The sequence below is a fragment of the Homo sapiens genome, chromosome 5, assembly GCF_000001405.40.
Source record: "Homo sapiens chromosome 5, GRCh38.p14 Primary Assembly".
Lineage (NCBI taxonomy): Eukaryota > Metazoa > Chordata > Mammalia > Primates > Hominidae > Homo > Homo sapiens.
The window spans coordinates 36,157,096-36,171,516 of record NC_000005.10 but is presented as its reverse complement, the minus strand read 5'-3'; the positions used below and the strand labels follow the sequence as shown (position 1 = coordinate 36,171,516).

The 14,421-nt window shown below is 41.5% G+C and overlaps 1 protein-coding gene across 5 annotated transcripts in view; it reads right to left on the bottom strand.

Moving 5' to 3' along the window:
• SKP2 (S-phase kinase associated protein 2) overlaps positions 1-14,421 on the bottom strand; it is a 41,420-nt gene that overhangs the window by 22,014 nt on the left and 4,985 nt on the right. For 4 of the 5 annotated variants that reach the window (XR_001742203.3, XM_047417536.1, NM_005983.4 and 1 more), the window contains exons 3-6: positions 7,761-7,872; positions 4,855-4,998; positions 3,070-3,204; positions 1,075-1,173 (exon numbers count right to left, since the gene is read on the bottom strand). Coding sequence is in view for 4 of the 5 variants with exons in the window: in XM_047417536.1 (XP_047273492.1) it covers positions 1,075-1,173; positions 3,070-3,204; positions 4,855-4,998; positions 7,761-7,872 (490 nt within the window). In the remaining variant the exon portion in view is untranslated. The remainder of the gene's footprint in view (positions 1-1,074; positions 1,174-3,069; positions 3,205-4,854; positions 4,999-7,760; positions 7,873-14,421) is intronic. The other variant, NM_001243120.2, reaches the window with a different exon arrangement.

Here is a 14,421-nt window from a genome sequence, read left to right as displayed (position 1 = left end):
ACCATGGATTCCTTATCATTTCATGCACAGAACACCTGCTTCTCTAACAGTAGCTACCTTTAGTCACCTAAGTATACCCTGTTTGCCCCTGAAAGTTGCCAGGGGATCAGAAGGGCCTTAGTGAATGTGCCTCCTCCTCGAAATGGAGAGAAGCACCTGATGGCTCAAACCTTATTCCAGTACTGCAGGTAGAAATGCCAGTCTTTTATGTTTGCTTTCTCAAACTACCAACCACCCAACACAGACTGAACAATCACTCAGGATGTTTTACGCAATTGATGGATTGCACTGAGGATTCCTAATAAAGAGATGCTGATATTGCAAAAAGCCACTTCGTCTTACTGTGCTTCTGCTAACTGAGCAAAAACGAGGGTTTCAGAGACAAAATACAACCATTAATCCCCACTCCCCACTTCTGGCACTGCTGACTAAATATAGGGCTATACATTTGATCTCACTGATAACACGCATATCCAGAGGCAATCTATTTTAAATGGACCATTAACAAGACACAGATTCAAATGCTGTACCATGGAGACCAAGGGATATTTTTAAAAAACACACATATGCCTAGTACTGTGTATTCCAAAAAGCATGTACTCCCCTCACTTAGCAATATCTGTAACTCTGTACCCTTTATGTGCTGACATTATTATGAAAGATATTGTTAATAGAATTGCCCAAATTTACGGTCTATATTTATAAAACACCAAATTTGATAAAAAATTGTAAGTTAGGTCTACAGATACCATAGGGGAAAAAACCTGAATGTACAGTTAAGTGTGAGCAAATTTCTTACAACCATACTGTTGATAGACACTACTACACTTCCCTTATTTTAACAGTTCCAAATAAACAAAAAAGAGATCACTATACAAGTATCACTTGCAAACTCAATTGACTTGGCTCCTGAGTTTGGACAGAAAGTTAGGAGGGCAAAAGATTTTGCATTCACCAAATCAAGAGCCTGGAAAGTACAAAAAGCTCAAAAAGTTCATCCCATTTTATACAGATGTGAGGGATAATTTTACGTTTGACATAAGAGTCTATAATCAAGTCTCACATCTTTCATACCTGGAACAGCTGCTTAGCAAAGTCTGCAGGGCAAATTCAGAGAATCCAGAACACCCAGAAAGGTTAAGTCGCACTAAATTTGAGTTTTTTGCGAGAGTACTGGAAAAAGAGAAAAACGTCAGAAGAAAAAGACCAGTAAGACACTATTCATCAACAACATTTAGATGAAAGCAGGCGAGTGTAGTTAAGCTCACAGGTCTTTGAGTCAGTGAGTTTAAAATGTATATCACTATCTCTCAGACATCAAACAGGATAATTTGCCTCAGTTTACTCATTTGTGAAATGGTATTATCAAACTTCTTGGCAGAGTTATTAAGAAGATTAAATGATATAATGTAATAAAAGACTTACTATGAAGCAAATACACAAGAATATCAATCAATGTACTTTTTGAATTAAAAAGACAATGGAATAAACATATATCCATTTCACCCATAATTAGAATTAGCTTGCAAACATCTACTTGTAAAATCACCAGGTTCTTTTGATTATACATCTCTCAAATTTGCCATCTTCTCTAATACATCCCCAAATGCCCTGTGTTAGTAAAACTTAGTGATTAAGAGTAAGAATTCTGGAATATTGTATCACTAGGTTCACATGTTGGTTCAGCCACCTACTAACAATGTGACCCTGGAAAAGACTTACTCAGTCTCCCTGTGTCTCAGTTTCCACAACTATAAAAAGGAAACAAGATCACACTTCATAGGGTTGCTGTCAGAATTAAATGAAAATGCATTTACAAAATTCACTATCTGGCACATAATACATGCCCCAAAACATTAGCTGCTATTACTGCTATCTGTTTTATATCAGACTTCACCTTTTCTCACTTGAACGAACACAGCAGTATCCTTAACTACTCTAGCTTCTTCTATCCTCGATGGACCCTCCATGGTACCTGGCAAGTTAATTTCCTAAATTTCAACTCTTGACTTGTTCCTTCCATTCTCAGAACAACTCTCTCCACCATCCTTCCCTTTTTTTATTTTTTTTTCAGATGGAGTTTTGCTCTTGTCACCTAGGCTGGAGTGCAATGTTGTGGTCTCAGCTCATGGCAACCTCCGCCTCCCGGGTTCAAGCGATTCTCCTGCCTCAGCCTCCTGAGTAGCTGGGATTACAGGTGCCTGCCACCACACCCAGCTAATTTTTGTATTTTTAGTAGAGACAGGATTTCACCATGTTGGCCAGGCTGGTCTCAAACTCCCAACCTCAGGTGATCTGCCCACCTTAGCCTCCCAAAGTGCTGGGATTACAGGTGTGAGCCACCACACCTGGCCCATGCTTCCCTCTTAATGGAAGAGTCCAGTCCATTCTTCTTACAGCAAGGCGTAGGGGCCCATTACAATCTGGTCCCTGACTCTCCTCACCTTGTCACTCTCCTCCCTTAGTCCTGTGCTCCAGCAACTTCCAACTACGTAAGAGTTTAGAACCACACAGGAAGTTTTACCTAGACTGGTTGCTTTGTCTTATTACCTAGAGATCTCCTACCTAGATATCTTCAATACTCAAGAGTCACTTCCTCTAACAAGGCGGCTCCTCGTGTGTTGCCACATATTCACTGAAACATTTAATAAACACACTGCATGGTAATTATCTGTCTTGCTCATAAATAGTTTACCTTCTTGCAAGAGAAAATAGACATGTCTTGCTCAATGTTTCCTCTTGCAAGAAGGTAAACTATAGCTTAACCAGCATTCACTAACAAGGTGGGAAAAGTTTTAGAGCATTCATTTTCTTCCCAAATAATACACATGCATTGTTCATCCTTGTACTTGTATCTCTAGAACCTAGCACAGGGCCTGGCATATAGTTAGCATTCAAGCTTTTGTTGCTTCAATGAGTCCTGAAAAGTTTTGCAGAAGCTAGAGCACTGCACTAGATATTTTCTGTATCCACCTGGATATGGCTAGAAGGGCACCCCAGTTATATACAGGGAAAAAAATTCATACACATAAAATCAACTGCCTTTGTGACACTCTGCCTGCCACTCACTTGACAATGGGATCCGAAAGCCGCAGGCCTTCCAGGCTTAGATTCTGCAACTTGGAACACTGAGACAGTATGCCGTGGAGGGTGGACACTTCTATAACTGAGTTCGATAGGTCCATGTGCTGTACACGAAAAGGGCTAAACACGGAGAGAAAAAAGGAGCTCCATAGGTGGCTCTCACGGGTACATCCAATTTCAAACCAGACCCCTCTTCTCCCCAAATGAGCAGCCAATCACAAACAAGACTCTAAATACATACTTCAAGCATTAACTATAGGGTCATAAAACATATTGCTACTAGTGTATTCCCATCTTCATTCATTTTAAAATGCAAGAGGATTTTTGCCAAGTACAGATGTTGCTGCCAATATAGTCCCACTTAGAAAATAACGAGTGGGCATCACAACAATGAGCTGGATGTGGGTGACAAGGAGATTAAGACCATAACGGCTCCTGGTTTCTGGCAGGGGTGAGTGGGTGAGCAGCAATAGAACAGGGAAGGTAGCGGAAGAGAAAGTTTTAAAGGGAGACCAGGCTGGGCGCAGTGGCTCACGCCTGTAATCACAACACTTTGAAAGGCTGAGTCCAGTGGATCACGATGTCAGGATATCAAGACCAGCCTGGCCAGCATGGTGAAACCCAGTCTCTACTAAAAATACAAAAAATTAGTTGGGCGTGGTGGCGCACACCTGTAGTCCCCAGGTGCTCGAGAGGCTGAGGCAGAATTGCTTGAACCTGGCAGGCAGAGGTTGCAATGAGCCGAGATCACGCCACTGCACTCCAGCCTGGGTGACACAGCAAGACTCCGTCTCAAAAAACAAAAACAATAAAAAAAAAGGGAGGCCAAATTTGAGTTATGCTAATATTGAAGTCCTTGTAAGAAATTCAGGTACAGACGTTTTTAGGTAATTAGAAATTTGGGAATTTGAAAGGGAGGGCCAAGCTATAGATGAGGAACTGAGAGTCCTGGGCATAAATGTGGGTGTAGAGGACACAGCTTGTCCAGGGACAGCATTTGGATTTGAAAAAGGTGGCAGCCAGGAACCGACCCTGGAGTGAACAGAGGAAATCACATATGTGAAGGAGACTGAGAAGGAACAGCCACAGGAGGAACAGGATAAAAAGCAGTGGGAGAGGCGGTCCTGACTACGGAAAGAAGGGAAAAAGTACTGGAGTCAGGAGACATGTTTTATCTTTAGCTTTGTTGTCTTCAGCTTGTTTTTCTGTTCAGTACCTAGTTATTCTACTATGTGATAGCAGTAACCTCAGTATTGCAAAATTATCAGAACAGAAAATTCTTTTTCAAAATATTCTACAAAACAAACAAAAAGAGGGCATTTTTTTCAGGTTCCAAATTTCTCCAAGACAAAAATCATAAACCCCAAGCTACAAACATGAAAAGACTCCTCACTTTTTTTTATTTATCAGAAATGGGCATTGGGGAAGTAACTGGGCACCCTTGCATCTGCCAGTGAGTGCTTTACTTGTGCCTGCCTTGTGGGACTCACAGTCCCCCTATCAGCTGAGGACTTGAGAAGACAAATGTGCCTCTTTCACCCTGGGAAGAGACTAACAGTAAACTTGAGTGAAATGGGAACAGTGTCATTGAAATCTATGCTAGGTTTTAGCACAAAGGCCCCATAGCAAAGTATGGAATTAACATCCCACACTGCACAGATAACCTACCATAGGCTTTAAGGCTGAAGAAAGAAAAAAAAAAAAAAAGCTTTGATCTGTTTCTACCTCGAAATTTAGAAATAGTCTTTTCCAGGGATTTTTCATCTTTACCTGAAATGTTCAGCCAATGGTTGGTCCATAAATGATCGTGGGCAGCGGAAGGCAATCACCCCTTGAGACAGCAACCGACCAGTCACATCCGGGTGCAGATTTTTACCTGTGAGGTCTAAGGTCTGCCATAGAGACTCATCAGACCTATAAAAGAGGAGATACTTAATTTGGCCAGTCGGTCACACTAAATGCTGGAAGCCCTCAACAACATTACTAACAGGTAGGACACTGCTGCTAAATCTCCTTGAAGCATATTCTAAAAGAACTTTTGTTTTTAAGTTGGCTATACAATTAGCTATGATATTTTTAAGGCACTAGAGAATTTTTCTTGATTTCACCAGGGATAAGCTTCCATCTTTCTCTTTCTATATACTTCCAATTTAGATGGTTCAATGTGAACATTAGCACTGCCGTGATCTAGAACCAGAGAATCATATTCCAGCATTCAAGTTGACAAATTTAAAAAATGATTGCTCAAATCAATTAATTATTATATTACTAGGCAAATAGGATCCTCTAAGAAGTTTTAAATCTATTTGACACTTTTGTCAAGCAATTATGATTACTGTAGCAACATGGAAAATTACTAAAGGAACGAAAGTTAGCATTATTTTATTATGAAATAAGGCTGTCATAGATATTCAATAGCAACAGTCATGGTTCAGCTGTGCCTTATAATATATTTGAAGCTTAAAACATACACGTGTATATGTATGTGTACATATGTGTGTGTATGAACTAATGTGAAATAAGGGAAAAATACAACGGATTATAGATGGTGTTTCTAAAACAAAAGGGATGTTCTAAAAACGTACTGAATAGCACAGTAAGAGGGTTTTAATATCCATAGTTTAATTCAATTTAAAAAAAGAAAATGTGAAATATAAGCACATGAAGGAACATTTTAAATGCTTAGGTGTACTAGAATTTTCTTTTTTAATAGTGCTTGAAATAAGTGGACCACTGGCCAGAGTTATGAAATAACTTCATCATAAAAAAATTGTCAGTGTGATTTGTGTGACAAATCTATCATTAAAAAGGTGGACTGTAGATAAGATATCCTTAAGAGAGTGGCACACTTTTGTATCTTTCTTGCCCAGACAGAAATCCATTTTGGCCTCCAAGGTATTGGTATTGACACCAGATCAGCACTGCTCTGGTTGTCTTGAATCTCATGCTTGATGTTTCCTCTTGCAAGAAGGCAAACTATAGCTTAACCAGCATTCAATAACAACAACCTGGGAGAAGTTTTGGAACAATTCATTTTCTTTCCAAATAATATACATTTTTTAGGAAGATGAACACCTCACAGAAAAATGAATTTGGGAGCTACCTGAACCCTAAGCCAAGCATAACTAGATATGGTATGATGGTTAAGACCGTGGAGTTAGCCAAACTTTAGATTCCTGCCTTTCCACTTATCTCTCAACCTACTATTCCTGACCCTGCAGTTTCCTCACCTCTGAAGCTGAGATGACACAAACACCATCACTTAAAATCATATGGAGGATTAAATTGCAAACACTGCACCTGTCACAAAGCAAGTGCTTAATAAATGTCAGTAATTACTTTTATGACAACTGAGATGAAGTTTAACAGACTCTAAGGGAGATGTAGGTCAAAGAATACAAAGCCACAGATATGCAGGATGAACACATCCCAAGATATAGTATACAACAGGAGAACTAGAGTCGATAATACTGTATTGTAGTCAGAATGTTTGCTAAAAGAGTAAATTTTAGGTGCTTTTGCCACAAAAAATAGGTAACTATGTGAGATAATGAATATGTTAATGATAGCAGCCATTTCACATACTTATAACAAAATATCATGCTGTATACCTTAAATATATACAATAAAATTTTAAAATGGGATTAACAGACTCTGCAAGAAGAGGATAAATGCATAGCTGGCAGAAAAAGAAAACCAAAGTGGGGTTGAGTGCGGTGAGGGTAAGTGAAACTTGCCTGCCACTTGCACCAGCATTCCAGGTGTGCAACCCTCTCTGCGGCTCTTCTAAGCAAACAACCCACACCTGTAAATAGCAGCACGCCCTTGAAGGCAAGAGGCTCCTGCTATCTCACACAGGGAGTTCTAAGTATGTGGAGGGAGAAGCCAGACGGATGGCCTTTAAACACAAAGCAAAGAATGACCAGGAGGTAGGATAGGGATGAGAAGGCATGAAGATAGTAAAAAGTTCCAGTTGATAAACATAGCCTTTTTCTTGCTCCAGGCCTGTTATTGCCTTTCCAGCTCACCAAGTCTTTCCACATGCAACTCACCTTCCACACTTGAAAAGTGTTGCCAAAAAAAGAGCACAACCCCACCAATGGCTACTCTGTGTGGAACATGTCTGTGAGTCAGGCATTACACCAGCATCTTCACATTTCATCCTCATAACCAGTGGTTTCCTCCTCATAACCATTATCCCCATTTACATATGGGGAGACTGAGGCTCAGCAGTGTCAACTAACTCACTCAGGTCATGCAGAGCGTAAGCAGCAGAGGCTGGGTGTGCACTCGGGTCTAACACCAAGCCTGTGTTCCCTCTCCCTATTGTGCTCACTGCTCAGCCCAGCGGCGTGAGGAACCGCTGTCTGCATGCACCTCTGTAACTCTCTCCGCACTTAAAGCACACCGCCTGGCCTACAGTCAGCATCCCATAAACACATGCTGCACTGAATACAGGGCAAAGAGGTTTCCAGACATTGGTAAGTTTATCCCTCCCAGGAAATTCCTCTTCCACTGTGAAATGAGGACACTGATTAATAAAAATATGAAGATACCTAGTTTGCTTTGCGCTGCTCTATTTTTCTTGGTTTTTAGTTTCATCAGACCAAAACGAATAAATAACCTTCCTCTCCTCTTCCTCCCCTACGTTTGCCAAAGGGGTGAAAAATACTTACGCTAGGCGATACCACCTCTTACAAACACCAGAGACCTTTAGCAGCTCAGGGAGGCACAGACAGGAAAAGATTCCCAAGAGCAGCTCATCCGGAAGGGAGTCCCATGAAACACCTTTGGAGGGAAAACAAGTGTTTGCCATCACCATTCTTTCACCCTATCAAGTCTACTGAGTCTTTTCAAACACATAAAGAATATACAACATTTAGCTTAAATGAGGAATTTAGCACAAATTAAATTACTCATCCTCACAATTATTTTTGTTTGAAAAATCATTTCTGTTGAACAGAAAAATAATTGTGGTGATGAGTAATTTAATTCGTGTTAAATTCCCCATTCCATCATCTATGTACCCTGAAGTGACCACCACACTCTCTCAGCAAATCAAAAAGAGAAACCCAGAACACTTTTCCTATTCTTCCCTTCAGCTCTAGCCAGCCAATCGGAGGCTGTGGCATGAAGAGTGGTACAGAGCAAGTCCCACCCTCTCAAATGTCATTCAATGACATTGTCAATTCATTGACATCAATAAGATATTGTGGTGCTTCTGGGTGCAAAGGAAGGCCTTGTTTCTCTCTGATGTGGACTCAGTAGTGACCTTATTTAAAAGGCAAATAAATCTTCTTCCCTTTCTGCTATGGTTGGCTGTGTCCCCACCCAAATCTCATCTTGAATTGTAGTTCCCATAATCCCCATGTGTTGCGGGAGGGACCCAGTGGGAGGTAATCAAATCATGGGGACGGTTACCTGGTGATAACCGCCCCTGTAATTTGATGCTGTTCTGGTGATAAGTGAGTTCCCACAAGATCTTATGGTTTTACAAGTGGCTTCCCCGACCCCTTTGCTCTGCACTTGATGCCGCCATGTGGAGAAGGACGTTTGCTTCCCCTTCCACCAAGCTTGTACGTTTCCTGAGGCCTCCCCAGCCAGGCTGAACTGTGAGTCAATTAAACCTCTTTCCTTTATGAATTACCCAGTCTTGGGTATGTCTTTATTAACAACATGAGAACAGACTAATATGCTTTCTTTCAGGTTTACAAAAGGCACAGTTTACCTAAAAGAGCAATACAAAAGGGTATTGTCATTTCTTAATTCAACAAATATTTACTGAGCTCCTACTATGGTGCCAGGTATCATTTTAGGTGTTGGGAAGGAGTAGTAAATCAGACCCAAAACACTACCTTCGTGGGACTTCATTCCAGTAATGCGGAACAGATAATCACACATCAAAAAATAAGTACATTATATGATATAGTAAAATTGATCTGTGCTGTGCAGAAAAATTAAACAGGGCAAGGGAGAGAACAGAGAGTTCAGAGCAGATGTTATTAAGTTTGAACATGGTGGTCAGGGAAGGCCATACTGAGATGACGATCACTAAGCAAAGGCTTGAACAAAGTGAGGGAGTGAGCCCTGTGAGTATCTGGTGTACGTGTTCTAGATCCAAGGAACAGCATGTGTGTTTGAGGCATAGCAAGGAGGCCAGTGTAGAGCGCAGAGGTAGGTGGGTAGAAAAATCAGAGAGCAGCCAGGTCATGCAGGCTTCCTAGGTCATGATAAAGCCTTTGGCTTTGACGCTGAATTCTATGAGGCACCACTAGAAGATTCTGAGCACAGGAATGACAGGCCCTCACGTAAGTTCAAAAAGGATCACTCTGGCTGCTGTGTTTAGAACAGAAAGGTGGATGCAGGAAGCGCAGTTTTCTTTCATAGAAGCAATCTCTAAATAACTATTCAACAAGTATGAAACTCTTACATATGAATACATAGAATAATCCCACAAGCTCAGGATAATGTAACAATTGCCAAGAAGGAAATAAATGCACAATGAAGGAATCCTAAAAAACAGTCAGATGAGTTCAATGATTGCCTTCCTAGGCTTTCCACCTCTGATGGATCTTCTACACCAATTCTGGTGATATTCTCTCCTCCTACTCCCATTTAAAGGTGCCAGTCTTTACTGAGCATGTCCTTTGTACCAGGCCCTGTATAAGTGGGTTTGAGGACACAAGGGAGAAAAACACCGAGGAGTGTGACAAACACCTGCTGCCCTGGGCAGTCTTTCTAAACCAGCATGTCTTTCCCCCAGTTAGAATCCTTCAGTGGTACACCCCAGGTATTTAGGCTAAAGTCCACAATGCTTAGTACAAAGTTAAACGCTTTCAGCCAGGTCTCAACTAGTTTTCCTAGGTTTGTTATCTAGAAATGTGTTCCAGCCATTTGGAGCTACCTGTAATTCTTAGAATGAGTCATTCTGTGCCGTATCTCAATGCTTTTGCACATCCTGTGCTTGCCTCCAACTACTATTCATTTAAAATCAAATGGAAGCCCCAGTTCCCACAGAAGGCCTCCCGTGACATCAACAAGGACAGGCCACTTATGTACCATAATTTCATTATTTACTTACTCATCTCTCTAGACCCCCAGGAGCTCTTGAGAAACAAAAACGCTTTTTTTTTTTTTTTTAACAATTTTTGTATTTTCAGGAACTAGCATAAAATTGATACATTCATCCACTCCCATATTTATAAAATATGTACTATACACTGAGGTCTATTCTAGGTTTTAAGGACACAATGATAAATAAGGCACAATCCTGACCCTTATTCTGCTCAGAGTTTGAGAGATATAGACAAACAGGAAACTTCAATAACCTATCCTGATGGGCTACAGTAGGATTCGGGGTGCTGTGCAGCTTATGGGAATGGCGCAGGGGTTAGGGAAGCCTTTCTGGAGGAAGTGGCCTCTCTTGAAGAATGAGTAGGAGATACACAGTTGTTCAATGAATGCCTGTTCCCCTAGCCTCACGCCCTTCAGGGGACAAAATTAAAGGACTGACTGAGGCCCTGAAAGCTAGGGGTAGAAAGCTGAAGGCAGATCACCCCTGCTGATCTGGGGAGGCAGCTGGAGGTTGTGAGGAGGCTCCTCGACGTGGCAGCTGTTCCATCACTGCCACAAAGTTCCTCCAAAGTCAACATGGGCAGGGGACAAAGGTTCTCAAACCAGGCTCTTGCCCTGCTCCCCAAATTGAAAACAAAGTTGAATGACAGGCTTTTCTCAAGTTTTTCTCCCATTAATCCAACTCTCTCAGACCTCTGCTGCCTCTTACATATCTAGATCAGAATCTAGTAATTGATTGGGCATAACTATATTTAGCTATAAGTATAGTCATCCACTCACGTATTTATTAACCATGTACTATATACACTGAGGTCTGTTCTAGGTTTTGGGCCACAACAATAAGTAAGGTACAATCCTGACCCTTATTCTACTCTGAGTTTGAGAGATACAGACAAACAATTAAACAGGAAATTTCAATAAACTATCCTGATGGGCTACAGCAGGATTCAGGGTGCTGTGCAGCACATGGGAATGGTGCAGAGGTTAAGGAAGCCTTCCTGGAGGAAGTGGCCTCTATGGAAGAGTAAGCTTAACTATACTTCAATAACATACTTAGCTATTTTGAATCTAATATGTTGAGATTTTACTATAATCTGTAAAAATCATACTGACACCATACGCTGGGCCTCCTCAACACATTTGAGGACTACTGGACTGAGAAAGCAGCACAGTTTCTATCAGAATCCTGGCTGTGTTGCCCCAAGTCTGTGAACTTGGGCAAGTTACTTAATCTTTCTGGCCTCAGTTTCTTTACCTGCAGGAAAGGAAATTGACAGATTTATCTTGCAAAATTGTTCAGTGAAGAGTAAATGAGGTACAAGAAAAGATTAAATAATGCAGCAGGGAGTAAAACTTTCTTTTCTATATTCCTCTCCTTTCCCAGTTAAGTCTGGGTATTTTCTTCATGCAATGACCTTTTCAGTGCTGCTCTGAATTTTCACCCATGGGCAGACACTGGACAAGGTCTGCATGGTATGACTTACCAAAACCCCGTATCTGCCCTTTATTTAAGTTTGGGTCCCCCAGAAGCAGATTCTGAAGCTCTGACTTCAAGTAGTTTATTTGGGAAGTGATGCCAGGAAGCACTAGAAAGAGTGGAGAAGACAGAGGTGGAAGGGAAGAAAGCCAACCTGGAGTAGGCTAATAGGCAGGTTATCCCTATGGGCAATTGGGGTTCAAATCTTCTGGGGACTCCAGTAAACCATCTAGAAACTACCCCAGAGCTGTCTCAACCAAGGGCACGAGTGCTGGGGTATTAATCCATCAATTGCTGTTGGTCACTATTTGGGGACTCCCCAGTATTCCTGCCCAGAGAAAGCCCTCAGGCATGGAATCTCATCTACACGTAGGCAAAAGCTTTGGCATGTAAGGGAATGGGGGGCTTCAAGGGGCTATAGATAGGGCACCAACAGAAATTATGGCTGGGGAAAGGAAATTAGAAAAGCTTGCTATGAAGTACAGGGCAGGAGAAATAAATTAACAAACTTGGTGCTTTCTATTAGGAAGACATAAGAAATCAGGACCAATTAAAAGAGCAGTAGCAGCCAGGTAATTAAAGTGCTAGAGGAAAATCTGGCATAGTGATGAATGCAGAGGTCAGTAGACCTAACCAATGAAGACTGCATGTGAGACTCCAAAGTCTGGAGGACTTTGTGTTGCAACTTCCATCTTTGCCTTCCCAACTCCTCCAGATTTCAGCTTAAATGGCACCTGCTCAAAGAAGCATTCCCACCCAGGATACCACCACAGGCCCCATGCCCAGATTTGCACATCCATTACCTAACAATGCCTGGCACATAACAGGACTCTATAAATATTTGCCAAATGTATTTATTAGCCCTCTTCATTCAAATGGTGAATGTGCTAATTCTTTATTAGTGTGAATGGCTAACCCTTATTAACCAATTAACGACTATGTGCACAGCACTGTTGGCATATGGAGGGGATGAGGCTGAAGACAAAAACCCAGAGCAGAAGGGAATGTCCTCTATCAGTATAGCTGTAGTCTCTGGGAGATGGGGGCTGGGGCTTCAAGAAAACATGCAACTATGATAAAAGAGACAAGGTCACACAATCAGTAAGTGGCAGAGGGGGAATTTAAACTCAGGTCTGATTTCAAATCATGCCCTTTCCATCCTAGTGGGTTCTAATATTCTATGCTCTCCTCTGTTGTAAGTACAAATTTTGAAAAGGTGAGAATTAAACCCGGACTTGCTATGGAAACAGAAATCAATCAGGGCTAGGGAGTGAGTGGAGGAGGAGAGAGAAAATAAAACAAAGATGCTATCAATGGGTTCACCACCAAATGGAAGGAGCAAGGTCCTAGAAAACACACATACTCAGCTAGCAGCCAAGTACCCAGTGCTCTTACTCAGCTGACCACAGAATGACACTAATCCTAGGGGCCCCGGGTGGGGGTACCACAGCCTGATATGGGCTGCTGTCCCAGCAGATGGGGCAGAAGTTTGTCTTTAATAGCTGCTCTAGCAATAGGCATCCAGGCTGTGATATGCTTAATCTAATTTTCCTTGCCATATTTAATTCTCAAAACATTAGCCATCTGTTTCCTGAATTCATGATGAAACTGCTGCCTGGTCTGTTTGCAGAGAGCGGAAGGAAAAATCCAGAGGTCTTTTCTCCACTTGTCTCTGCTAAATCCAGCAAGGCTGTAGCTGCATACCAGACCCACATTAAAAGACATAATTACTGAGCCCAAGGTCTCCAGTCTTCAATGACATGGACGGCAGTTAAATATACTTCAGGGCCAGGAAAGGGCAAAAACTGGGCCAAACCAGCAAACCTACTACAATCACCCTCACCTACCACTGTTTCCAATTATTTCTCAGGTGCAAACCCAGTTTCCCACTTCTGTAACCTTATCACATCTCATGCTTCCTGAAATTCTCTGGGAAGAGGGCCTTGTTGGAGAGTTTTCTATGCATTCCATCTTTGCAGTGTAGGTAACTCATCTTACTTGACATATTTATTTCTCAGAATATCACTCCACTCATTTATTTCTCAGAACATCACTCCACTCCACTCAGATTCAAGCTGAAAATCCAAAGTAATGCTAATCATAATCAAACTTTTGACTTAAAAAATTGCTGCTCTTTAAGCATAATCAGATTATACTTGCAGAAATGTATACTGAGGACCTGGTACTCATACTTGTTTTTGTGTGTGTGTGCATTTCTTTCAGGGAGTTGGGGGGTGCTCACCTCAGAATTGCTTTTGCTGGCTTGTTTTAAGTAGCAATACCCCATGCTTTCTTTCTGGGGAACTACAAACAGATTGTGCCATCCCAGATGAGTTCTCCTTCCTCTTCCCACAAACCATAAATAATACATTTGAGGCCATGTTGGCTTTGGGTGTTTTTGTTTTTTTGGCTAAGGTGGGCAAAACTGAAAAAAACAAAACACAGCCAAACTTAACAAGGATTCCCCCATGTACCCCTTCAGTCCCACAACCCTTTATTTCTATGAAAGACTTGCTCAACCCTGAGGTGTAGGGGGTGTAATGAAGAAACAACAGAAGCTGGGATTTGGAAAAAATATGGAACAGTGTATAAGCACTATGAGGGCAGGGTCTCTTGCCTGTTATGTTCAGTATTGTAGTCCCAACCTCTAAAACGGTGCTTGAGAAATATTTGCTTAATGGATGAATGAAAGGAAGCTATGGAACAAAGAAAGATGACTGGGAAGATCCCATAAAGGCTCTTCCAGTGCTGAGTTTAGTAACTGTAGACTGAGACTCACATAGATC